The 26,182-nt window shown below is 54.2% G+C and overlaps 1 protein-coding gene across 3 annotated transcripts, besides 4 other annotated features; it reads right to left on the reverse strand.

Annotated features, from left to right (window-relative positions):
* On the reverse strand, positions 206-22,352 carry PLCD1 (phospholipase C delta 1). Of its 3 annotated transcripts, none has more exons than NM_006225.4 (15): positions 22,216-22,352; positions 12,898-13,062; positions 9,201-9,429; positions 4,254-4,383; positions 3,924-4,155; positions 3,071-3,272; positions 2,841-2,985; positions 2,614-2,763; positions 2,363-2,521; positions 1,982-2,141; positions 1,752-1,868; positions 1,168-1,346; positions 945-1,077; positions 724-873; positions 206-568 (listed from the first exon to the last, which is right to left on the reverse strand). In NM_006225.4, the coding sequence occupies exons 1-15, from the start codon at positions 22,247-22,249 to the stop codon at positions 483-485; spliced, it is 2,271 nt and encodes a 756-aa protein (NP_006216.2). In that variant the 5' UTR covers positions 22,250-22,352; the 3' UTR covers positions 206-482. The 3 variants fall into 3 exon arrangements, 2 of the variants coding, with proteins under 2 accessions (NP_006216.2, NP_001124436.1); NM_001130964.2 differs by lacking the exon at positions 22,216-22,352 and adding an exon at positions 17,047-17,230; NR_024071.2 differs by lacking the exon at positions 22,216-22,352 and adding an exon at positions 17,047-17,230 and having other exon boundaries at positions 2,614-2,985.
* Positions 1,942-2,692: an enhancer, noted in NCBI's record as "H3K4me1 hESC enhancer chr3:38050723-38051473 (GRCh37/hg19 assembly coordinates)". NCBI's record gives its function as "activates a minimal SCP1, AML or CMV promoter by ChIP-STARR-seq in naive H9 embryonic stem cells {active_cell/tissue: H9 hESC(naive)}" and the evidence as "EXISTENCE:reporter gene assay evidence [ECO:0000049][PMID:30033119]".
* Positions 17,395-17,454: a silencer, noted in NCBI's record as "silent region_14202". NCBI's record gives its function as "represses an Ori minimal core promoter by ATAC-STARR-seq in GM12878 lymphoblastoid cells {active_cell/tissue: GM12878}" and the evidence as "EXISTENCE:reporter gene assay evidence [ECO:0000049][PMID:35858748]".
* Positions 17,545-17,634: a silencer, noted in NCBI's record as "silent region_14203". NCBI's record gives its function as "represses an Ori minimal core promoter by ATAC-STARR-seq in GM12878 lymphoblastoid cells {active_cell/tissue: GM12878}" and the evidence as "EXISTENCE:reporter gene assay evidence [ECO:0000049][PMID:35858748]".
* Positions 17,655-17,994: a silencer, noted in NCBI's record as "silent region_14204". NCBI's record gives its function as "represses an Ori minimal core promoter by ATAC-STARR-seq in GM12878 lymphoblastoid cells {active_cell/tissue: GM12878}" and the evidence as "EXISTENCE:reporter gene assay evidence [ECO:0000049][PMID:35858748]".

The raw sequence follows: 26,182 nt of genomic DNA on the forward strand, positions 1-26,182 counted from the left end.
CAGAGGGGTTTATTTCTCGTTGGTCTCTCCAGATACCCCTGCCCTACTCAACTATGTGCAAGGAAGGTGGAGAGTGAGGTGCTAGGGCTCCAGCACTCTAGGACATGGGGACACACACACACACACACACACACACACACACACACACACACACACACGCTTCACAGGGGATTTTTCTGGCATCCAGGTAAAGAGACCACAAGGCTTAATCTTATCGTGATTTTTATAAAAATCCTTGACCACTCGCTGGCCGGAGGGTGGAGAGGGCTGCAGTGTTATTCCTAACGGAATGAAGGACAGCTCCAGGGACTGGGCTAGCTCCTGGTCCCCAGGGAGGCAGCAGCAGACACTATGTTAGGGCTGAAGGCAATTTGGGGGCCTAGCTCTGAGCAAGAGGCTGGGAGCAGCCACACCAGCCCTGTCCCCACATGTGGACAGAGGGCCCAGCCCACTCAGGGGGGACCCCACTGGCTTCCTCCAGCCTAGTCCTGGAGGGAGATCTTCACAAAGAGGGTGGCTGATGGATGCTGGTCCCCGTTCTTAGACATGAGGTGGACATGGCGGTATCCTGGTGGGTGGACAGGCAGGAGGGAACACAGAGAGAGTTCTGGTCATTCGGCGGCGGAGGGGGGGTGGATGCGTCAAGGGACAGCCAGCCCCAGCCCAAGAGACGCCAGGCCCTGCTTCCCACCACCTTGGCCATCCCCTTCTCTTGACACTCACCTTGCTTGAGGCTGTTCAAGGGGATGGTACTCTGGCCAATGAAGTCATTCTTGGAGGAGGCATCATAATCTTCCACCAAGAAGCGGATGAGGGCAAGGTCAGGCACAACTACCTCAAACGCAAACTCCGTGTCCCACCATGGGTTGAAACCTAGGGGGACAGGCACCATATCAGCAGCATGGACACCAGCCCTAGTAGCCCAGCCCAGGCCCAGCACCTACCATTGTTGGTGATGACAGCAGTCTGGCGGCTGGCCACGTCCCGGCTCACGCCATGGATCTCCACTGTCACTTTGGGGTCCACAATTGAATTCTTATTCTTGTTGACTTTTGGCAGCTGCTGCCCCGAAATGACCTGAGGAAAGGCAGAGGACAATGGACAGTTCAGGAGTGGTAGCGGGGAAGGGAGGTCCGTGGGCACCTGTCCCTCCTAGGTCCAGCGTACCCTGATGTTGAGCCGCTTCCGTGCCCACCAGGGCCCCTGAGCCAGGGCGCGGGGGTTAAAGGTGCCGTTGGGGTCTCGCAGGAAGGCGGGCTTCAGCACGTACCCACAGGCCCCGTTGTCCTGGAAGCGGCCCTGGTACACGTCCATCTCTGGCCCAGGTGTCTGGAAATTCAGGGCCACTACAGGCAGGACAGAGCAGTCACAGGCTGTGGGCTGGCCCTGGGGCCCTAGAGCACAGCCTGCTCAGGGTACACTAAGGCCTAGGGTCACATGGTGAGTTAGCAGGGCCCAGCATCACTCCAATGCCTGCTGCCCTCCTGCCACCCTCAGTGACCCACCATGCTAACCACACCTTCCATTCCTGGTGTGAGAATTCAAAGGACTAGTGTGCTAATGAGGTTTCAGACACTGTGACATGCTGGTGGGCAGATATTTCCAGACTGATATTACCAGCTCCACAAGCCCCTGCATTTGACCCTGCTTGGGTCCTCAGAGCTCCACTGCATGGCCTTCGAGGCTCCAGGCCCCCGGCCTTGGGACTGAAACCCTCCTCCAGGCCTCCTCCAGCCCCAGCCAGCCCATACCGATCTGGCAGCCCCCATTCCACATCTCCACGGGGCTGTAGTTGGAGGAGTCTGTTCTCCATCCAGCCGGGTAGATTCTGCTCAGGTGCCCCACGTTGTGGCGGACAAAGCCGTTTCCTGAGGGGAGGTGTGGTTCGGTCAGCAGTGGAGGCCTCCTGGTGAGGCCCAAGCCCTGCCCTGCCAATTCTCTCTGTAACAGAGCAGGGGAGTGGTGGGGAGCCAGGCCTCACCTGATTCTTGGAGCAGTCGAAGGGCACGGTTCTCAGAGAAGGACGCCATCTCGTAGAAGGCCTGTCCAGGGGTGCCAGGACTGGAGAAGCCCCCAAAGTGGACACTCTTGCAGTAAATGACCATGTCAGAGAGCTCCTGTGCTAGCCTGAGCTTGTCCTCCTGGGGAACACGGGGAGGCCCGGGTTAGATTCAGTGGTTGGGGTAGGGTAGGCACTGAGAAAGCCAGAAACCCAGGCGCAGAGAGACAGAGGGAGACAGACAGAGAGAGCGGGGCAGAGGGTCTGAGTGGCAGCCACAGAGAACTGAGACAAGGCAGACCTCCCACGGGTGAGGGGATGGGGAAGGCCCGGGCTGCCCCACCCCACAGCTCCCCCTCAAACCTTGGGCTTGTGCTGCACACGGCTCCTCACTGCCTCATCCTCCATCTCAGCAGCCTCGTCTTCGTCTGACACCACAGTGGCCTCAGGGCCACCCTCCCCTCCAGGGGGCAGGAGCCCCCCGAGCTTCTTCCCCTTCAGCAGGATCTTCCCCTTCAGTTGCTAGGTGGGGAGGGGCAACTGGTCAAGACACACCTAGCGCCCCGGCTAGGCTCCCCACCCTCCCCCAGGGATCCCCCATCCCCACCACACACCTCAGGGGAGGGCAGGCTGTTGGTGACCCCATCCAGTGGTCGGTTCAACAGCATGGGGCCCAGGATGGCATGCAGGTGCCGCGCCATCACGCGCTGCTGCTCCAGTGTGCAGTGGTTCTCCAGGGATAGGATGACAGGGTAGGGGGACGCCTGGAGGCCCAAGGGCACATTAGGAGTGGTGGGCCACCCCTAGCATCCCACTCCTCACCTGCCAGGGGCACTCCCACCTTGAAGGCATAGTCCCGGATGGCCCTGAGCACATCGCAGAAGAGGATCTTGGAAGTGAAAGTATAGCCGTGGTAGATGATTGGTTCCTGGTTGGGCCCGTCCCAGCAGTCAAGCTCCAGGCATCGGCAGCCTTTGCACAGTGCCCTGCGGGGAGGGTGGTGGCTAGGACCCTCCAGGTCCTGTCCCGGGTCCCACCCAGACTCCCGACCCAAGGCTCCCTGAGCAGCACCGGATGTAGGCTTCAGTGCTGCTGGGCCCGGCTAGCTGGTCCTCCAGCAGGTAGGTGTTGTGTGAAGAGGACACCAGGTAGTGGCTAAGTGGCTGGCCCATGTCCTGGTAGACACGGCGGTGTGCCAGGCTGAAGGCGCTGCCGTCAGCCGACAGTAAGTACATGAGGAAGCCGTCCTTGGTCATCTGCCGCTGCGCCTTGGCTGGGAGGGAGGAGGCCACTGCCCGTCAGAGCCAGCCTCCAGCAGGCGCTCCTGGCTGCCCACCCATCTGGACAGAGGAGCCCTCTGAACCCGCTTGCCTGCCTGTCCTGAGCCAGTCTTCCAGAGCTCTTGGAATTAGGATAAGTCTGAGGCTCTCGACCAGACTGTGGCTACTCCAGAGTGGGGCCCTGTCTCCTCCTCCTCCCCTGTCTGCACACTCTAAGACCCCTGAGGACAGGGTGTCATCTCCCCGTTCTCTGTACCTCCAGACTGGAGCCCCCTCCAGGGCAGGGACCCATCTTCTCTGCTCTATCACATCTCAAAGCTGGGCCAAGAATGAGTAAAAAAAAAAGAAGCAGGAGTAGCATCTGCTTTTCAGCCATCTCTCTTGTTTCTTGAAGAAGGGGTCCTCAAAGCCCCCTGAAGGAGGTGCCAAGAGGGAAACAGGACCAGAGAAGGGTAGGGATGCCAGAGCCCTGTCTCTCATCTGCCGGCTTTCATAGGACCAGAAAGTGTGGAGCAGGGCCCCGGGGCTGGCTGAGGCAGCCCCTTCCCTCCGGTTCCCTTCTTTCTGGCTGCAGTCTCCCCAGGGGTCTCCCAGCCCAGTGCGGCCCTGCGACTGCAGGTAGCAGGCCCTGGTCAGGCTCTCACCAGTCTCGCTGGGCTCGTAGCGCTCAATGAGGGAGAGGGCCAGCGCAGGCCCTGCCGCCTCCTCCCGCTGCTGGTGCTGCAGGAACGTCACTAACTGATCCACCGACAGAGTCTCCCCTGAGCCCGCGGCCTCGGCGAAGGTGCGGTCGATCTCCACCCGCTGGGTCAGCATCTTGTAGAAGGCCTCAATCTCCTCGTCCTCCAGGGAGTCTGTCTGGGAGTGGTCACACTCCTGCAGAGCCAGGACAGCCGAGTGGGCTCAGAGCAGGCCTTGGGCCGGGGTCAAGGGCCCCATGGACAGGCAGCCCCAGCCCCCACTTCCTGCCTCACCCTGAAGATCTTCCGGGCATAGCTGTCGTCCACCTGGATGTTGAGCTCCTTCAGGAAGTTCTGCAGCTCCTTGAAGCTCATCTTGTTGTCCTTGTTTTTGTCAGCTTTTCGCAAGCAGGAGTGAATCCAGCTGGGCAAGAAGTAAGGAAAGAACCCAGGAACCCTGGAACCTACCAAGGTCCCAGCCAGAGCCATGGATGGCTCCAGCTGAAGCCACCTATAGCCACAGCTCCCTGCAGGCCTGACTTACTACACATCCATGTTTCAGTGGCCTCTTCAGAGGAAAATGTTAAGGGGTCTTTTTCTATTTGCTGGTTTTCAAACCTTTCAAAATTTTTAAAACATTTCTTTTCTTACTACAAAAGGGCCCACTGTAGACAATTTAGAAAATGCAGAAAAGTAAACAATCAAACAAATCTCCCGTAGTCTATCACCTAGGGATAAATACTATCAACATTCCAAAGTATATCCTTCTGGTTTTCCTTTTCTTTTTTTTTTTTTTTTGACAAGATCTCACTCTGTCGCCCAGATTAGAGTGCAGTGGCACAATCACAGCTCATTGCAGCCTAGACCTCTCAGGCTCAAGTGATCCTCCCACTACAGGTGTGCACCGCACCACCACGCCTGGCTTTTTTTTTTTTTTTTGGGTAGAGACAGGGTCTCCCTATGTTGCCCAGGCTAGTCTCAAACTCCTAGGCCCAAGCAATCCTCCTGCTTTGACCTCCCAAAGTGCTGGGATTACAGATATGAGCCATCTGGACTGGTTTTCAACATATAATATATAATAATAAATATCCAACACTAAAGAAATGGATATTCCACCTGCTGAATAGCCTTCAGCACACGAATCTCGTGCTTGGCTGGACCATTCTAAACTTGACTTTTTTCACCTGGCTTTCTGTCATAATTATTCTTTTCCACATCTATACCCATATATATACAATTTGGAAAACATATATATGTTAGAATGAAGTTTTTTTTTTTTTTTTTGGAGACGGAGTCTTGCTCTGTTGCCCAGGCTAGAGTACACTGGCGCGATCTCGGCTCACTGCAACCTCTGCCCTCTGGATTCAAGCAATTCTCCTGCCCTAGCCTCCTGAGGAGCTGGGATTACAGGCGTATGCTACCATGCCCAGCTAATTTTTGTATTTTTAGTTGAGACGGGGTTTCAGCATGTTGGCTATGCTGGTCTTGAACTCCTCACCTCAAGTGATCCACCCGCCTTGGCCTCCCAAAGTGCGGGGATTACACGTGTGAGCCACGGCACCCGGCCTATAATGAAGTTTTAAAGATCTACCTACCTCCTCCAGAAGCTTCTGATATTTGCATTTTCCTCCTAATATTTTTTTCTGCAATTTATTTATTTATTTGGTTTTTTGAGACAGGGTCTCGCTCTGTTGCCCAGGCTTGAGTGCAGTGGCATGATTATGGCCCACTGCAGCCTCAAACAATCTTCCCACCTCAGTCTGCTAAGTAGCTGGAACTACAGGTGCATGTCACTATGCCTGGCTAATTTTTGTATTTTTTGGAGAGATGGGGTTTTGCCACGTTGCCCAGACTAGTCTCGAACTCCTAAGCTCAAGCGATCCACCTGCCTCAGCCTCCCAAAGTGCTAGGACTAGAGGTGTGAGCCGCCGAGCCCAGCCTTTCTGGATTTTAATTTTCTTTTTTTTTTTTTTTTTTTCCTGAGACGGAGTCTAGCTCTGTCACCCAGGCTGGAGTGCAGTGGCGCAATCTTGGCTCACTGCAAGCTCCGCCTCCCGGGATCACGCCATTCTCCTGCCTCAACCTCCCAAGTAGCTGGGACTACAGGCGCCCACCACCACGCCCGGCTAATTTTTTGTATTTTTTAGTAGAGACGGGGTTTCACCGTGTTAGCCAGGATGGTCTCGATCTCCTGACCTGGTGATCCACCTGCCTCGGCCTCCCAAAGTGCTGGGATTACAGGCGTGAGCCACTGCGCCCCGCCCGGATTTTAATTTTCCTAATGATGCATCTGCCAAAAATAATGGAAATCATACATTTGTAGTCCATTTTCTGTGTAACATTATATCATAATTATTTCCCTGTGTTAGTGTAGTCTCCATAAACAGCTTTAATGACTGTATAATGTTCCACTGAGTGTATGCACTATAAATTAGAATGGCTTTATGATCTTAAGGTCTAGGCAGCAGGACTCTGCAGAGGGCATGAGACTGTCCAAGGTCAAGGCTCTGCCAAAGGTGGGATTATGACAAAAATGCCATAGAATTGGGCTTTTTAAAAAGCTCACAATCAGGCAGATGTGCCATTGAGAAATAACACTTAAAAGTCTTTCAAATGCTCAAAAGCACACAGAAAAGGAAATTAACAGGGCTCAAAATGTGTCCCCTAAGGAGTGGACATACACCAGCAATGAAAAATTTGAAAGTGAAATTAAGAAAACATTTCCATTTACAGTAGCAGCAAAGTGAATAAAATGCTTTTAAAGAAATTGTTTAAGTGCAAAACCTGGAAAACCATAAGGCACTGTTGAAAAAAAATGAAAGAAGACATAAATAAATGGAAAGAATTACATGTTCATGGATCAGAAGACTTGACATTATTATACTGGGAATATGCTCCAAATTGATCTATACATTCAATATAATCCCTATCAAAATCTTGCTGGCTTCTTTGCAGAAATTGACAGGCTAATCCTAAAATTCGTATAGAAATTCAAGGGACCCAGAATAGCTAAAGCAATATTGAAAAAAAAAACAGAAACAAATTTAGAGAACTCACATTTCCTTATTTCAAAACTTACTACAAAGTTACAGAAAGCAAAATATTGTGGTAGTGGTGCAAGGACAGACATATAGACAAACAGAATAAAATTGAGAACTCAGGCCCAGCGCAGTGGCTCACTGCTGTAATCCCAGAATTTTGGATTAGGCAAAGCTTTCGTGAATATGATGCCAAAAAAAATAAACAACAAAAGAAATAAAGTATATGAATTACACTTCATCAAAACCAAAAACTTTTGTGCTTCAAAGAATATCAAGAGGCTGATCTGAGTGCAGGGGTGTTTACAACTAATTGATCACAAGCAGTTCCAGATTTCTTTGTTCCTTCTCCACTCTCACTGTTTCACTTTTCTAGCCTAAAAAAACCCATCAAGAAAGAGAAAAGACAACCCACAGAATGGAGAAATTATTTGCAAGCATAAATCTCATAAAAGACTTGTATCTATAATATATAAAGAGCTCTTACAACTCAATAATAAAGACAAATGATCCAAAAAATGGGCAAAGGACCTGAATAGATATTTCTCCAAAGAAGATATATAAACGTACATGGAAAAATGCTCAATATCACTAATCATTAGGGAAATGCAAATCAAAATCACAATGAGATACCACTTCATACCCACAGGGTGTCTATAATCAAGACAAATGTAGTGTCAAGGACATGGAAAACTGAAACCCTCGTATACTGCTGGTGGGAATGTAAATTGATGCAGCCTGTTTGGAAAACAGTTTGGCAGTTTCTCAAAAGGTTAAACATAGTTACCATATGACCCAGCGATTCTACTCCAAGAGAAATGAAAACATATATACACACCAAAACTTATACACGAATGTTAATATCAGCATTCTTCATAAAAGCCCCAAAGTGGAAACAATCTAAATGTCCATCATCTGGTGAAGAGATACATGTGGTCTATCCATACAGTAGCATATTACTAGACAATTGGAAGGAATGAAGTACTGACACAGGCTACAACATGGATGAATATTGCAAACATCACGCTAAATGAAAGAAGCCAGTCACAAAAGACTCCATGATTCCGTTTCTGTAACATGCCCAGAACAGGAAAGTGTATAGAGGCAGAAAGTAGATTAGTGGCTGTCTAGGGCTGGGGGTTGAGGTGAAATGGGGACTGACTGCTAAGGGGTACAGTGTTTCTTTCTGGGGTGATGGAAATGTGCTAAAATTGATTGTGATGATGGCTGCACAATTCTGTGAATATACTAAAAAGCACTGAATCAGGTTCAACACTTTAAAAGGGTTAATTATATGGTATGTGAATTACACCTCAATAAAGCTGCCATAAAAAATGGAGAGAGCTGGCTCCACCCTAATCCATACATGCCAGAAGCCCGACCACTTCGAATCATAAACCAGTGTGTCATTGTGTAACTAAATGTTGAAGTTAATTTGTTTTGAGCTCACAGGCTGGCCTACACACCAGGCCCAGGGGAACTTGATCACTCCCCAAAGAATGGCACAGGAGGGTACCATGGCCTCCCAACTCCCAGAGGGAAATCGTGTGGTAACTCTAGAAAACATGATTAAAACATCCAAGACTGGTCTCCCATTGCAGCAGGCTGCTCCCCTCAGGCTCCCCAGACCCCCAACTCCATGCTGGTGACAGACGGGGACACAGGGAGTATCAGGGAGCAGCAGAGCTATTTGGGCTCTGGTCAGACTAGACCAAAGAGGGCTTCATGTATCTTCCCTCCTTCCCTTCTGAATTGTATACCCCACCCCCCAACTCACCAAAATTTATATGTTGAAGCCCTAATGCCCAACGTGATGATATTTGGAGATAAGGCCTTTGGAAGATAACTTGGTTGAGATGAGGTCATGAGGGTGGGGCACCCGCGCTGGGATTAGTGCCCTTACAAGAAGAGATGGCAGAGAACCTAGTCTCTCTCTCCCCACCATGTGAGGACACAGCAAGAAGACAGTCATCTGCCAGCAAAGGAGAGAGCCCTCACCAGGCTCTGACCATACTGGCTCCCTGACCTTGGACTTCCAGCCTCCACACTGTGAGAAAATAAATTATGCTGTTTAAGCCACCTATGATATTTTGTTATGGCAGCCCAAAGTACCTAAACCAGCTTCCATACCCAAGTTGCCCTGGGGATAACCACAGCCAGTGTCCACAAGCCAGGCCTGGACCCACTGCCACCAAAAGGATACTGCTGTAGCTTCTGACGCTGGTCCATGGAGCCTGAGTGGTGGATGATCTTGTGCAGCCCCAGCACCCAGTGCTGGGCATCAGCTGGCGATGGGGCGATGAGGTCTAGTGTATTGCGCTGGTCCTTGAAGACAATGGAGAAGCAGCGGTCCTCGGGCACATCACGGGCGAACTTCTCCAGACCCTCCGTGCGGTGCCCCATTCGCACCTCCTGAATGTCCTCGATGGAGACTGCGAGAGGGGGATGGTGGAGGAGAGAGGGAGAGAATGCTGTGAGGTCAGTCCCTGACCCTGACATGGCCAAGGCCACAGTAGAGAGGGGCATGGCTTGGAGACACAGAGCCAGGGCCGGAGCTCAGGCCTTGAGTCCAGAAGGAAAGGAGAGGGGCAGGAGGTTGGACAAGTGGGGGACAAAAAGGAGAAAGGAAGACAGAAACTGAGGGGGAGACAGAGCATGAGACACAGTCATTGCAGGCACAGTGGAGACACACAGGGAGAGACAGAGAGTGAGAGAAAGACAGACTTTAGGGCGGAAAAGGCACCTGGGACCCCAGGCCTGCTCTCTCGGTGATGGGGGGTGCAGGGCCCCAGGGAGAGGACTGGAGCAGGGCAAGGCTCTTAGAGATGCGGACAGACCACTCTGGAGTGTGGGGCCCATGACAGAGAAGGGCCATGCACCCTTCTGACTGTATTGGACTTTGGGTCTGTCCTGACCCGATAAAGCCACAAGAGCCACCAGGCCCCTCTCCTGAACATTCAAGAGACTGGAACCACCCTCAGTTAGCCCCAGCCCTGGGGTCTATGGGCAGAGGGCCGAAGACAGAGGGAGAAGCCCTGCATGGGAGAGGAGACAGGGTCGTGCCCTGTGTGCAGCTGTGTGTGTCCTGACTTCAGGGAGCCCCTTGGCAGGGGGTACAGGAAGACTCTGCCTTCCCCAGTCCCAAGAGGCAAACTGGAGGGTCTCCTGCAGGGTTCTGAGAGATTACATCATTCTGCCCTTAGGGGAGCCAAGGGGAGGGCCCTCCCCTCACACCCAGCCTTCCAAGCTTCAGGGAGATGCCAGGCCCTGTCTACCCCCGCTTCCAATGTGCCCTCCATGGCCTGGCCAGGAGCCAGTTCTTCCAGTCAGGCTCATGCTGTGCCTCCCAGCAGCAGGATCCAGGCTCTGCCCCTGCCATACCTCCATCCTGAGCCATCCTCATCCATCTGTCCTGGCTCCTAGACGGTTCTAGCTGAAGTCCACCTGTCCCTCCCTGTGCCCACCCACTCTGAGTGCCCAGGGGCCTCCTAGCCACCTGCAGGGCCCACAGATGTAACATGTGCCAGCCTGGGCTGCAGGCTTTGAGGAGTGGGACACATGAGCCCAGGGCCATGTGGGGGACAGAGGATAGCACGGCTTAATCCCTCTGCCTGCAGCCCCTGGTGACCCACACGGCCGCACACAGGGTGCAGCTGCAGCTGCCTGGGTCAGGAATGAAAACAGGAAGCCTGAGCCATGGGACCCCCACCCAAGGCCAGCGCCCTCACCCACACAGAGAGAAAGTCCAGATGCCTTCACTGCTGATAACACCTTTGGCCTCTGGGAACCAGAGTCATGGGGGTGGGTAGTAGTGGCAGGATTGGGGAGACTTAAAAAGCAGGAAGCAGAGCTAAAGAAAACTGGGCAGAAGGGGAGGCTATTCCAGGCCTCCCTCACCTGGCCTCTGTTTTCCAGGTTAAAGAGCAATTGAAGACAACAGTCTCACCACTCACCCAGAGAAGGGAGGCAGCCAACAAAGCAGGCTCAGCACGAGACCCGTCTCAGGCGTCTGACCAGCAGAAAGCCCCCTCAGGCCTTGCTCCATACCTGCGCACACCTGGCTCCCTGACCCTGGACCTGGCTCCCTGCAGCCCCTCCTCCTGGCAGGACGCAGCCCCTCAGCCTCCCACTCATGCCTGTTCCTCCTCCTCACCCTGCACCTTGGCTCACACTGGGCCTCCTGCCTGCAATGTCCTTCCTGCCCATCTGCTCACAGCTGTCCCAATACAAGGTCCTCCTCTCGCCAGCTCAAATGTGGTTCCTGCGGGGAAAGGCCTGGGTCTTCCACTCCTCTATCTCCCCTCTCATGCTTCCCAAGAGCTAGGCACACACTGGGAGTCATCCATACGTATCGGTAGGTAGGTGGGCTCCAGGGAATCCCCAGGGCTCAGAGTATAAGATCCCCATTCTCACTGTGCTCCCACCCACCAGCATCTAACAGGAAATCCCATATCAGGGCAAGAGCCCCATGAAGGAGCCTGTCTGGCGCCACAGAGAAAAGGTCAGGCGGTCACTCCTGTACAGTGTGGCAGCAGGCTGAGCTGGGGCTCCGTGTGGTTTCCTCAGAATGTTCTGGAGCCCCTACCCCTCAGACCCTGCCCTGCCCAGAAATCTTCCATGGCTCACAGCCCCAAGGACCCAGCCGGCTCTCTGCAACTGGCCCTGCTCCTGTCCTGCCTTACCTTCAGCCCCTCCACTGGCCACAGGTTGGCAGGCCATACCTTCTCAGGGTCCTGTCCAGTGTCCTGAGGCAAGGCAGACCCTTCCTGGGTGAAAGGCACCCTCGGTGGGGTGATCCTCCCCTTCCTTATGCTCTCCTCCTACCTGCGCTTATCACCCATGTCCAGTCTCACTCCCCATAGACCTGCCCCCATCTCCCCACCCACACCTCAGCCAATGGCAGGAGAATGGGCGAGGGATCTCCAGGGGCCTGGCTATGTGAAACCCAGGCTGCAATGATCTATATGCACTGTCCAATTCAGCAGCCACTAGCCACCTGGGGCTATTTAAATATAAATTAGTTAAAATTAAATAAGATTGAGAATTCAGTTCGGCAGTCACACTAGCCACATTTCAAGGTCTCAATCAATAGCCACAAGTGGCTAGTGGCTCCCATGCTGGACAGTGCAGATATAGAACATTTCCATCATTGTTCAACTGTACAGCATCGGTCTAAAATTTCCCCACCAAGTAAAGGCATAGAGGGAGACATCTCACTTTACAGGATCTTTAGGGAATTCTCTCCCTTAAAGGGAGAGAACTGAGTGAAGTGAGCAGAGCTTTCTTCTCCCTGAGGCCTTGCAGGAGGCTCTCTCCATTTGTGGCCTGAGACTTGGGTTCCTTGGTCTTTTTAGAAGCTTCCAGAATGCCCTCAGACCCACAAGGGCTCCCCAGCAGTGGCCTCTGTCTGTGTGTCCCAGTCCTGCTCTGCCCTAACACCCCTCCTGTGGCTCCAGTCCCAGGGAGGAGCTGCCTCCTGCAGCCCTAGCTCCCACCTGGCCACTCAACCCCGGAAGTACCTTATCTGCCTGGACCTTGGGCCACCGTCCAACTCCCTCCCTGCTTCTGAGCCTGGCTGTCCCCATCTGTGGTCATGGTTAAGTATCCCCATCCCTCAAAAGCTTTGCCATCTCCATCTGCGGTCCTCGTTCCATGACTGCCCTCTCCAGTCCAGACTAGGCTTCAATTTCCCGATGGCAATTTAACTGGCCCTGCTCCCCAACCCCAGCCAGCCTCAGTTTCCCCACTGCCAGCCCAGGTTATATAAATGACCTATGCCCCACCAGGCCAGGCCTCAGTTTCCCCATCTGTGGTTTTGATCCATGACTGACCTTTGTATTTACCCAGCCCTGAGCAGATTCCACACTCTATCCCCTCCCCTGTGACCCCAGGGCACTCACACAGCTGGGACTCCGGGGTCCGCATGACCTTGCGGGACTCCTGCCAGATGGTCTTGCAGTCCTCCTGCAACTTGTAGAAGCGCTCTCTCCTCCATGAGCTGGACTTCACCTTCAGGAGCTGGCTGCCCTTCAGCAGCGCCTGTAGATCCTCATCATCCTGTAGGCCTGGGGATCAAAGCCAGTAAGATGCCACCTTCTCCACTAGTTTCCCTGATGCCCTAGGCCTCACACTGGCCATGCCCACCTCGACCCTCTCAGAGCCCACTTTTCACCAGCCTCATCCTCAGCTCTGTTTACTCCTCCCTCCTCCACCCATGCTCCAACCTGCTCCCAGAGCCTGCCCTCCTCCAGGAAGTCATCCCTGATTGCCAGCTAAGGTGACCATGCAAACGGGACACCTGCCCACCCAAGACCATACTTACACACTGTGACGTGCCACCCACAGCTGAATGAACAAAAGAAAGGCAGCTAATTCAAGAACCCCTGGTTCCTAGAGGACCAGCCCCCTAAGAAATGTTCTGAAAGATGGTTTTGAAAGATTAGGTGAGCCCCTCCTGGTCACACTTAGGAGTCAGAGTGAACTGAAGGAAGCTGGGATCAAAAGGTTAGGCAAAGCAGGGAGATAAAAGGGGGACAGACACAGATGGACCCCAGAGCGTCATGGAGCCAAACAACGTCCCAACTCCAATAGCTCCAGAATCATTTGTGCCTAGGTTCAGGTGCCCTTCCCAACAAGCTGTGTGACCTGGGCAAGGGACTTCATGCTGCTGGGCCTCTGCTTTCCTGTCTATGAAATGGAGATAATAACAGCAACCACCTCAAAGGGAAGTTCTAGGTTCAATGAGATGATGCCTGAATCTGTGCAGGCCCCAAGATAATGGCAGTTGGGGTTCTTGGTGTCAACATTGTGGTTGCTGTGGGACCCCTATGCCCATCTCTGCCACCCTTACCCTTGCTGTCCCCCCCACCTCTGACTTGAGCCCACATGAGTGATCTCTGATCTTTGCCCCAAGAAGAGACAGATGAGTGCACTGTAGCCTGTGTTTGGTCTGCTGGGATGGCCCTGTCCTTCGCTGCCCCAGCCCCATCTCAGAGTGCCCAGGGTCTGGGACCCCTCAGGATACAGCAGCTTTAAGGCACAGTGCATCCCTTTCCGAAGCTGAGCAGGTCCTGTCCCAGAGCCCAGAGAGAGGAACCTGGCTGCTTGCCCCAGTCCTGCCCCACTCTTTTGCTGCTCTCAGAGGTGTGGGCTCCCAAAGATGCGATGCCCTCAGTCCTACCAGGCCCAGACAGGAGGCACCAAAAGGACGCCAGAGCCTTCACCACCCAGCAGGTTCTGTACCAACTGATAAAGTTGATAAAAGTGACCCCAACCCTTAGTAACCCACTGGTGTAATACAGAAACATCTATAAGGGCGTATGTGTGCGTGTATCACCCTAGCCACGTACATAGTCCAGCAGCCAGCTCTATTGAGAGCCAATCGGCCACTTCACTTCTCTCCCTAGAACTATGTGGCCCATCAGCAATCTCTGTCCTGCTGCTCCAGCACAGTGGCAGCCTCAGGGACTTCAAGGGTCTAGTCTGAGGGTCTTGAGCCTAAGCCTATGTGGGGAAGCCCTCATGAAGCCACAGGCCTTTTCTTTTCTGAGCCCAGATCCCCAACAACAGATGGCCTCTCCCATTTTATCCATACCCCCTCCCCCAGCCAGCCTGTCCCACATATCTTCAGGGCTCACAGAACCCTCTGGACCACTTCCCCAGGCTTCAGTTGCTCACACACTCTTTATCCTTCCCCAGTCTCCTGCTTCCAATCAGGATAGAGGTCAGTGCTAACATCCACCCCCTATAGCTTTAGGCAACTCCCTTCCCTCTCTCTGCTTTTGTTCCCCCATCAGCACTGGGCTAAGAACAGTGTAGGGGAGGCATCCCTGGGCCTCCTCAGGGGTGACAGTCTGATGTGACCTTCCTCCACCTTTCTCCCAGGTCTGTCCACCCACTTGATGAGCTGTTGTGCCTTAGCGTGAGCAGCTCCCTCTTAGCCCAAGGGGAGTCCCAGTGGAAAAGAAGGGGGCTCTGATAGAATATTCCCAACTACTGGCTGTGTCTGAGGAGCCTGAGACAAGAGGAGGCAGAAGGGAGTTCCCAGGCTGCCAGAGGACAGGGCCACCTCCGGCCTCCGGCGGGGAATTCCACTATCCCTTCTAAGGCTGATGTCCCTCTAAAGCTGAGAGGGACATCTCCTTACCCTCTGCCAGCACCCCACCCCACAAGCTGGGCATACATCAGGGCAAGCCACTGCCAACAGCATGTATGGGAATGGAGCTGGGAGCCAGGAAGTAGAAGTTGAGCACCACCCTCCTGTTCTGGAAAACACCATGAAGAGATGACATGCTCATCCTGTCCTGGAGCCAGGCTGTGGCCCTATCTACAGTCAGGCAGAGATAAACCCCCAGCTGCCAACAATGGTTTCTAAAAGGTGGACATCAGTTCCAGGGTGATAATTCCAGAAAGGTGATAGCCACAGCCCTCTGGACCATTAGGAAACCTGGGCAGGTGCCCTCATCTCTTAGCCTCATTTGGGGCCCTTCTGTTCCCAAAGCTTCTGGACTTCCTGCCCCACCACCCTTGCTCCCTTAGCACCCAGAAAGTCTGTGGCACCCCTCACCCAGCCCTACTCAACCCAGTCATAATATTAGTTTGGTGCAAAAGTAATCACGGTTTTTGCTATTGAAAGTAATAGCAAAAACTTTCAATAGCAAAAACTGTGATTACTTTTGCATCAATCTAAGAGCTTCTCCTCCTGTGGGAGGGTCGTGGCGAGGAGACTTTGAGCTGACCCTGGGTTGACCTTGCAGCCTGCCCAGGCTAGCTGTGCACAGTGAGGTGGCCATGTGGTGGGGCATACAGGGTGTTGCAGGTGCCAGTGGGAAGCTGAGGGAGGTGCCAGGAGTCCTGTTCCTATACCAAGGGTGATGCATAATAAAGACACACTGGGCCTGGGACCCACAGCGATACACAGCTACACAGATATGGCCACACAAATACACAGTCACACACTAGACCACCACTCACACAACCTCAAAGAGACAATGAGCCACACACAATGACACACTGCCCCCCAAAATTACACACTGTCACAGGGAGTTGCACAGTGTCACACTTAGTCATGCATAGCCACACAACATATAGTGCCAGAGCATCATGATGATGATGATAGAGGCTCCCATAATAATAGTTAATATTTAAATAAGATACTGTTCTTAGCACATGCACTTAATTCTCTCAATAACCCTCTGAGGAAGGCACTGTCATTATTCCTGTTTTACACAAGAGGAAACTGAGGCTCAAGGAAGTTGCATGGTGGAGTCAGGACTCAGAAGCAGGTAGCTTACCCACAGGGTCAGCGGTATGAAACTTTACGCAGCCACTGTGAAGGGACATACTGCCACAGAGTAAGAACATCAGAAAATCCATATAACACACACACCATAATGGAATGACAGAACCACTCAGTCACCCTAGGTCACCCACTGTCACATTGGTTATACAGTCACACTCAGTTGAACAGTATCACAACAGATCACACGCTGTCACACTGGGTTACAAGCAGCCACCTCAGTGCCACAATGTCACACACTTTGTTTCACAACATTACACACCATCACCATCATTACACACTGTACAGTGGCCCCACCACAGACCCCAGGCATGACAGAACTACTCAGTCGGCACTGGGTCCCATACTAGATCACCACTGTCACACCCATCACATACAGGCACACTTTTGCACAGGATCATATTGAAGCACAAACTCTTGCAGATCACCTCATTGGTTACACAGACCAGGCCACATACACGGTGCCTCAGAAATTTGTAAACAGGAAGGCGTCGGGTGACAAGGGATGGGGAGCGTTGGAAGGGCTGAGTTAAATAATGAGAAGGGGTAACTAATCACCCTAGTACTCACCCCGACGTGCTACCACTGCAAACACTGCCCCACAGTGGGCCACACACTCACAGAAGTACTAAACATGTCCAATTAAAGGCTCCAAGGCAAATGGCCCCGCGTTAAGGGACAAGTGGTCGGCGTCCTGCTCCAGCTGCCTTCCCATTCCCCCGCAGATCTCGGAGTGCTCTGCGCCCCTTACCCAGCCTCCGTCCATTGAGCGCCGCCACCTTAAGGCTCCGCTCCTGCAGGTAGAGCTCCCTGGAGCGGCTCCGGCTCCGGATCCCCAGGCACTGCATGGCCCTCCACAGTGCCCCTGCCTGCGCGGAGCCGGGTCCGGGGCAGTGCCGCCTCCAGTGTTTTATGCTCACAACACCCTCTGCTCTGGTCCGGGGGGCGGAACTGTCGCCCTTGGAGGGGAGCAGGGGCGGAGTCCAGGAATGGGAGGGAGGAGCTAGAGTTCGAGAGGAGGGGCGCACTTCGGAGGGGCGGGACGAGAGGGAAATCTGGGCTGAGGGGGTAGTCAGACGCTAGGAGGCGGAGCTAGTCCACGAGCGGCGGGACCTATGCCCCCTGAAGGTGAGGCGAGAGCGAAACCGAGGCAAAGTAAATGAGTGGGGGGAGTCAGAATACAGGAGGCGGGACGAGAAGAAAATCTGGGCTAAGGAGGGCAGAGTCAGACCCCAAAAGGCTGGGCCATCCAAGAGGGGTGGGACTAACGACCCCTGGAGATGGGGCGAGAGTGGTGTCGAGGCGTGGGTGGGGATGGGGGTGGATCCAGAACCCAGGAGGCGGGGCCGAGGAGGTGCCGGGCCCCGCGGAGGCGGAGTGGGACAAATCCATAACCCAGGAAGCAAATCTGTGTCGAAGCCTGGGGGCGGGGCCAGAGCCAAGGCAGCGGGGCGAAGGAGGGGCCAGGCTCAGAGGCGGAGCTCAGGCCGGGAGCCTCTGCTCCAGAGGCGACGTGGAGGCAGAGCCATACCCAGGAAGCAGCCCGGGGGCGGGGCCAGGGCCCAGGAGGCGAGCCTGGGAGGATCCCGCACTGGAAGGGCGGTGTCCAGGCAGGGAGGGGCGGTCCCTCGGCTTTGGAGGCGGTGCGGGGGCGGAGCCAGGGTCCGGGAGGCAGTGTGGGCGGGGTCTGACCAAGGAGCCGGAGCGGCGAATTCTAACGCCACCTTTGAGGCTGGCGCAGAACCGAAGGGCTGAGTCTGGGGAGAAAAGCTGAGGGGAGTCCCAGTGGGAGGTGGATGGCAGTCTAGCGGGGACCTGAGTGGGGCGAGATCAGGCGGGACCGGGGATGGAGCCTGGGCCAGACACCGAGCCCCCCCCAAGTATTTTACTTCAATTGCTCAACTAATTCATTGCGACTCAGCTTGCTGTTGCCTCATTTGTGAACCTCAGGTGGGCCTGTTTGCTTCTCTCGGTTTGACCACCAAAGTGATAATCCCCAAGGTGACGGATGCAAACGAAATTCTTGAAAAAATTCTGATCTTAAAATAAGCCCATTAACCCAGGGTGGCTTTCATAAATACATGAGAACGACTGTAACTTTGCACAAAACTTTGCTGCCAATATGCTCGGGAACAGTGGGTCCTTTCATGTACATCACAACTTCCCTTTCATTCACCCAGTAATTATTTATTGAGCCCCTACTGTGTGCCAATGTCAGGACACCACCCAGAGGCCTGACTCTTACTCTCAGCCTCTGAATAGTTCCCCCAGTTCGCTTCACTGCAGCTCCAGTCACCAGCATTGACAGTGAGTCACTGGCAAAGCCAGTTATTGGCACAGACAAGCACAGCAGTAATAACAAGAAACTGAAGCGCAGAGTAACTTGCCTAAGGTCATATCAGAGAGAATAAATCATGAGCAAGGTGAGTAGATGGACAAGGTAGATGAGCTGAAATATGAACACGGAAAAGCTATTCTTTGGAGAGGGGAAGCAGAGTGCAAAGGGAGCCTGTGTTATGGAGAAACTGCGCAGGGGTTCTTAACCAGACCAAAGACCCCTCAAGAACCTGTAGATAGAATAACATCTCAAAATAATTGGCTTCCTTTGAATTCTTATGTATTTTATTTTCTGTATTTAAAAACATGATCCTGGCCGGGCGCAGTGGCTCACACCTGTAATCCCAGCACTTTGGGAGGCCAAGGTAGGAGGATCACTTAAGGTCAGGAGTTCGAGACCAGCCTGGCCAACATGGAGACACCCCGTCTCTGCTAAAAATACAAAAATTAGCCGGGCGTGGCGGCCGGCACCTGTAATCCCAGCTACTTGGGAGGCTGAGGCAAGACAATCCCTTGAACCCGGGAGGTGGAGGTTTCGGTAAGCCGAGATGGCGCAAACTGCACTCCAGCCTGGGTGACAGTGAGATTCTGTCTCATAAATAAATAAACAAATAAATAAATAAAAACATAATCCTGAGAAGGGGTCTACAGGCTTCACCTGACTGCCAAAGTGGTCTGTGGCACAAAAAGTTAAGATTGGTGTGGATCAGTGTGTGCCTGTGTAGCATGGGCCTGGAAGCCCAGGGGCAGACTGCTTTGGAACACAGGTGAGTGAGGAGCTGGCCACCCCAACTTGCTAAGAGCTCTGGAATCATCATCTCTTGGAGGACTGGTTTTTGGGGCAACCTAGAATTTCTATGCCCATTGGCGTTTATGTTCACAACACCCACTGTGAAATATGTACTGCTATCCCATGGATGATTCTCAGACCCACAGTAAGTAGAACCAAAGCTAGGACTGGAGCCCAGGTCTACTGGGGCCAAGATGAGGCCCCTCTATTTTCTGTTTTTACAAACGGCACCTCTTGCAGGGGTGGGGGCAAAAGGGATTGGGTGTAGGAAAAGTTAGTGTGTATGTGGGGGGTGTTCAGTGAGGGGAGGGCCCTGGGAGGTAATGTCCTTTGGGGCACATCGGGGGACCTGCTAGAGAAGCCAGTCCAGGCATAGCCAGAATAAAGAGTGGAAGAAGTAAGGTGAAGGAAGGAGGATGGATGCTGTCGCATCAGTCTGAGGGCTTCAGAGGCACTAGAAAGAGCTGGCTGGCTCGCTCTTGAATCTAGTTCTGGCCCTATTTTCCATGACTAGGAACTACCTTATGATGCCCCCATCATCTCCCAAAGAACTACAGATGGCAACTCATAGGGCATAGAAATTTGGGGAGGGGGCCTCCTGCAGGAACATAGTACTCACTGGGTACCAGGCACTGTTCTAACTGCTGTGTAGATATTATCTCATTCAATCTTCGTAGCAACCCTATGAGGTAGATGGTATTATCCCCCATTTTACAGATGAGGAAACTGACACACAGGGAAGTCAAGGGATTCATCTGAGATGAGAAAGCCAAGACTTGAACTCAGGTACTTTGCTTTCAGAATCTATGCCAGTAAACTACATTACTTCTGCATGCATCTGGGGTGAGGACAGAAGGGACATGTCACATCTAGGTGAGCCGCATAGCTCCCCAGGCCAACAGAAGGAGTCCCTCTGGGCTCCTTCCAGAGAGTGTGGAGCCCTAGGCCAGAGAGTGTGGTCCTGCAGCACATCCAGTGCTGGGGCACCCACACTGTGAAACGGATGCAGACTCTCCAATGCAAGTGTAGACAACCTGGAACAGCACAGGGCACAGTGATCACCCCCTCCCACCAACAATTCTCCTTGACAGGTTCTTATTTCCCCATCTGGTTTGCAGTGTGGACAGAAGGCAGTTGAGGTAATTTTGGGTGATGAGCTAGAAGTGGCAGGGCCTTCAGGGAAAACAGCTTGGGGTCACAGTGTTCATGTCAACCCTTCAGGAAAGGCTGGACTGAGTTAGGCATTTGGGAGGCTGGTCTCAAATGGGGTGGGCCAGGGCAGCCAAGCCTATGCCACAGGACTGGGAGGTCCTGACTGAGCCTCCATGTGTCTTCCTCCATGGAAAAGATATCAAGGCTGCCTCAGGAGAGAAACTGGACAAAGGCACAGACACTGAGGATGAAGCCTGTTCCAACAGGAGCCAAGGAATGACGCTGTGTCAGAGAGAAAGCAGAGATGTCCACTGTGTCCTCTCAGCTGCCCAGCCTCCCTTCTTGCTAGTCTGGCAGGCGCACGAAAGACACCTCTGGCCTGAAGAAAGAAGAGGGAGCACTGGAAGGGGCAGGGACTCCATGACTCATCTAGACAAGGTGGCTTTAAGGAGCCTAGGCTATTGGTGTAAAAGCAACAGCTCTGGGCACAGAGCAAGGTCTCTCTGGGCCAGGAGGACCAGGTCTGTGCCAACTGCAGAACACGAGATAGACTGGAGGCTGGCTGATGGGAACATCTCTAAGTCCCTCTAAATTCCAGGGGGACTCTAGTGGAAGGCTAGAGGACTCTGCCCTTCTCTTTCCCATCTATTATGTCCATGAACAGTTTAGATGGATGGGTGGTGGCCACTAAAGCCTCCAACCCCAAGGGTACTAAAAAAGAGAGGGATATACAGTAAAGCAGTGATTGGTATGAAAGGAGCAGGGTTTGCTGAGATGGCAAGTGACCTGGGAGGGCAGGAGGGCAAGCCCCCACCAAGAGTGAGTGAGTGCCTGTCCTGGAGCAAAGAGGCGCCCAAAGTTACCCTCCCCAACCTCCCGCCTCCCAGAAGGCCTCCAGATCTGCCTTCGGGAGCCCAGGCTCCCCTCGCTGCTGGAGGGACAGCGAAAGGGCAAAGAGCTGGCTCATATTGGAGGAAACAAAGCTCCGCTGGACAAAGGATGGAGCAGGCAGCTCCGGCTGAGACCTGGCCCTGTCCCCCGAGGAGGGTCGCAGATGAGGGGATCGTGCTGCTTCTTTCAGCCTGAGCATCGCTGACTATTCTGCGCTGGGCAGTTAAGGCTGCACGGCCCGACCACGGTTAACCTTGCACACCTCCTCTCCCCACCCGCTTAGCCCCTGCTCCGCCACACCCGCGCGGCCTGACGCGGTCCAGGCACGCCCAGGCTTTGGGGAGCCTCTGGGGCGGCCCGGATGGGGCAAGGAGAATTTTGGTCGTTCTTGGATGCTGTTTCCTTCCTTCGCCGCCCCTCCGTGCGAGCGGGATCGTGGAGCCCAGACTTTCATGACCAGGACAAGGGGGTCCGCGAGGCGGAGGGAAGTCTTTAGACCCGTACCGCCCGCCCACCCACCCCCCGGGCTAGATCTCGGACAAGCCTGGAAACGCCCAGGGTCGTGCCCGGCAGTCCCACCCAGGGAGCCGCGGGCTGAGATTTTCCCAGTCCGGAGAAGGGGCAGAGAGGCGGGCCCGGGGTGGTGTGGAGGCGGCCGAAGGAGCTGGGGGCTCCCTGTCCAGGGCCCGGAACAGCTTTCCAGGGGTCCACCCCTGCAGGGTCTCCCGCTCGCGCGGGCCAGGCACTCACCGTGCAGGGTCAGGAAGTCCCGGCCCGAGTCCATGCCCGACGGGCGGCGCGGCGGGAGGGGCACCGCGGGACTCACTTGAGTAGCGACAGCACCGGCGGCCTGGGGTCCGAGCGGAGTGCGGTGCAGGGACCTGAATGGACCGCGGTGGGAGGAGGCCGGGGGTGGTCCCGGGACACCGCCCCGCCCCCGCTGCCCTGCGCCCCCGCCCCCTGAGCCCGCCAACCCTCGTCTCTCCCCGCCCCCTTCTGGGGACGCGAGAGGGAGGGCAGAGCTGGGGGCCCGGAGGACTGGCCAACCCTGGCCCGGGCCAGCGGGCGCGCCCCGACCAGAAATAGCCAGATTCCTCCAGCTTCCTCCGCCGCCGCCACCCACGGGCCGCGGGCCCTGTCATTACCGCGGGCGGCCGGGCCCCACGCCCTGTTGTGGGCGCCTCGCTGGGGTCGGGGTGATGCTGGAAAGAATCCGGCGTCATCCCGGGGAAGGGATCGTGTAAGGTCCGACGCCCAGCCGGGCTGCTGCGCTAGGGAGACGCGGCGTCCAGGCTTCCAGCCGCAGCTCCCAGCGTTCGCATTCCCTTCTGCGAAATGGGTGCACGGACACGATTAGAAGGTCTTCAGAGAGCAATACCTGGACCTTGTCGGGAGGAGGGTCCCCTTCCCTCTCGCTGGGAGGTTTCTAACCCCAAGAGTGCCTTTGGTGGAGTGTTGGGGGTGTGGGAGGGGGAAGCAAGCAGGTGCACGGATTTCACTTTTGAGCCACTCATATCCCAAAACCCCAGCGATCCATGCAGCCGAGGGGGAGGATCCCCAGGGTCCCTTCTTCAGGTGGCCTCCCAAGGGGCTGTCTGGGCAAGGTCCCTATGCAGACCCACCCCCTAACTCTTGGGACCCAGAAAACCCCCTTTATAGGTTGCCCAGAGACCCCTCCCACCACAGACCCTGGGAGGGTCCCTAGATCCTGTTGCCCACCACCCCTTTGGAGAGTCCCTTGGGAAAACTGGGCTCTTGGTGTCAGAGAGCCCCCAGAGGGCCTCCCAGGAAGCCACCCAGGCCTCCTGGGCTGATAAGGCCAATGTGAGAGTCAGGCAAAGCTAGTTGGACCAGCTCTGCGGGGAGGGGGCTGGGCTCACCCCAATCCCTCCTCTTCTGGGCCCTAGGTGGCCTTGAATAAGGGATGTGAAACAGCTGAAGGACAGTCTTCTGGTTCTGGGGGTTAAAAGTGGATCAGGACTTCTGGGCTTTGGAGAGCCCCCTGCTCTGCATGCCCCCTCTCCACAGACGGGGCTTCACCCCTTACCTGGCACTCAGCTCCAATCCTGTCCTGCAGTGCGAACACCCCTGCCCTGGGCAGGCCTGTCAGTTCCTTCCTTGGTTTCCCTTCTGCCCAGGGCCACACTCCATGTTTGCTGAGGGATGAGCAAATTCATACTGGCAGGCATCACTCTGGACCTCCATACAGGGGATGAGTGGGGAAGAAGGGTCCCCTTCTCTGCCCTCTGGAGGCCTCCTCAGGCCTTGGAGCCTACCACTTGCACCTCTGATACTCCTGGAGCCTGCAAGCCCCTGTACTCAGCAAATCAGGCCTCCTCAAGCCCCCCTCCTCTTCCTAGGCAGCGTCACAGTGAAACTCTGACACCAGGAGTGGACATGGCTTCATCTCAGTCATCATTCCTATGTATTCACATCATCTCCCAACTCTGAGCCCCAGGCCCCAAGCCAGGACATTACCTGGGAGCCTCTCCTTTCCCTTTGTCTATGTACCATGGTGGGGATGCAGCCAGGCTCTTCCTTTGCATGCTCCAAACCCACCTCACAGAATCCCTCCTCTGGCCCCTGGCACAGACATAGGAGCTGCAGCCTCCTCCCTAGCCCAGGGTTCTTGGGCAGGATGGGCACTGCTGACTCAGAGCTGGCACATGCAACCAGGTTCTGCCAGACATGAGGGCTGGGCCCCGCCCTGCTCATAGAGAAACCCGGCGGCTGCTCAGAGCCGTGGGTGAGCCCTCACTCCAGTCCTCTCCTCTCTTCCCCTGGCTATCGGCCCCTCCTGGCTCTCACAGGCTGGGAGGTGCTCTGCTGGTTCCTGCTAGGGGTAAGCCTGTGTGGTATGAGTGAACTTGTGTGGAGGGGCTGGAGCTCAGAGGAGGCAAAGAGGCTTTGTACCAAGTCACGAAGTTGCTGGATTCCATTCCCTTTGCCTTCACTCCCTCTGCCCTCAACTCCCAGGGCCGTCTGTGGGCCCAGCCCTGGCCAGGTGCCTAAATTACCCTCCTCAAAACCCAGCTCTCAGTTGCCTGTGCAAGATGCCCTGAGATCCCGGTGACTCAGAGGGCTATTTGGCAGGCTTAGTTTGGGTACACAGAGGGCCCACACATGCCCCAAAGACTAGTTCTTTAATGGGGGAGTTTCTGGCATCTCACTCTCCTGACCATGCCCAGTCTTCTATGTCTGTGTGAGGATGGATGGGGTGATGGAGCTTCTGGGATCACTGGAGACAGGGAAGAGAGACCTAGTGTTGGCACCAGTGCCTGCCTCAAGCCACTTCACTTGGTCTCTCCACCACTACTTTCTCTGGAGGCCTGAGGAGGGGGTATTATCACCCAAGAATGCCAACGTTCAGGATGGTCAGGCTCCAAGCGTGCTTCAGGGCTGGCCCTTTCCAGTCCCTCCCCCATGAAATGCAAACCTAGCCCAGCTTGGGTAGGTGAGGTGAATGGGGTTTATTCTGCCCCCTCCCTGTCTTTAGAGCCTCTGCTCCAGGATATGGGGTGAAGGGGCTGTTTAAATCTTGACTTTGCAGCTTCCTGCTGTTAAGACTTTGGAAAAGTGACTTCGCTTCTCTGAGCTCCTCAATCAGGAGCTATAATCATCCTTAGAACTGGCAGAAGTAATGGATGGCAAGTACAGGGCACAAATAAGTACCTGCTAGAAGGCCACCAGAATCCCATATTCCCACAGCCATCCTCTGCCTGGCCTCCTCTACAGATCCAGGTGGCCAGAGCCCAACCTGAGGCTGTTGGTCTGAGGTCATGCCCCTGCTGCTTTTGAGGGCTGCAAAACCCCCATAGGAGCTCCCTCCAGAGGGTCATGGGCCCAAGTCCAGATGCATCAGGAGGAAAAGTGAAGGCTGCTCCTCCCAAGGGAGCAGCTGTGGCAAAGTGAGAGTCCTCAGGTCATGCAGGGTCAGATCCTCAGGTCCTGACCTTGCAGGGATCCAGGATGCCATAGTGAACTATGAGGCTGCTGGACCTGCTGGTAGTCCCAGGACAGTATGGGATTATTTGGGGTTACTATTCTATAATTATATTTGTGGGATTTTATTGTGTATTCATTTGTGAATGTAACTGTGATGTTTATTTCACTGTGGACTGAGTCCCAATGCTCACCTCCACCCCAGAGGCAGAATACAGTGCTTGGCATGGGGAACAGACAGGAAACTTGCCCTCAGACCCTTATCTGAAGGAGGAGGCAGAGGGTAACTCACCTGAAGGAGGAAACACACTTATGGGATGTGTGAACTGAAGAGACCCACATTTGAAAACTGTTCTGCTATGTCACTTATTCAACAAATATTTATTGAGCAGCTACTGTGTAGTGGGCACTGTTCTAGAGGCTTGGGAGTCATCTGTGAACAAAACACATCAAAAACCCCTGCCCTCCTGGAGCCCAAATTCTAATGGAAAGAAAAGAGACATTTTAACAAATGTAAGAAATGAATTGTACAGGATATTAGCAGATAATAAGTAAAATGAAAAAAGTGGGTTAAAGCAGTTCAGGAATGGGATAGGGTTAATTTTTTTTTTTTTTTTTTTTTTGAGATGGAGTCTCGCTCTGTTGCCCAGGCTGGAGTGCAGTGGTGTGATCTCAGCTCACTGCAGTCTCTGCCCCCCAGGTTCGAGTGATTCTCCTGAGTAGCTGGGATTGCAGGTGTGTGGCACCACGCCCAGCTAATTTTTGTATTTTGAAT

The sequence above is a fragment of the Homo sapiens genome, chromosome 3 (genome assembly GCF_000001405.40).
Source record: "Homo sapiens chromosome 3, GRCh38.p14 Primary Assembly".
Lineage (NCBI taxonomy): Eukaryota > Metazoa > Chordata > Mammalia > Primates > Hominidae > Homo > Homo sapiens.

What these genes read in the sequence shown, in the direction of transcription:
- PLCD1 (NM_001130964.2), bottom strand. Translation starts at nt 17,143, where the DNA reads ATGCAGTGCCTGGGGATCCGGAGCCGGAGCCGCTCCAGGGAGCTCTAC. An exon ending in GAATGGGGGCTGCCAGATCG is followed by an intron (nt 1,347 to 1,751) that starts GTATGGGCTGGC and finishes TCCTGCCTGTAG; the next exon opens with TGGCCCTGAATTTCCAGACA. An exon ending in TGCTGTCATCACCAACAATG is followed by an intron (nt 874 to 944) that starts GTAGGTGCTGGG and finishes CTGTCCCCCTAG; the next exon opens with GTTTCAACCCATGGTGGGAC.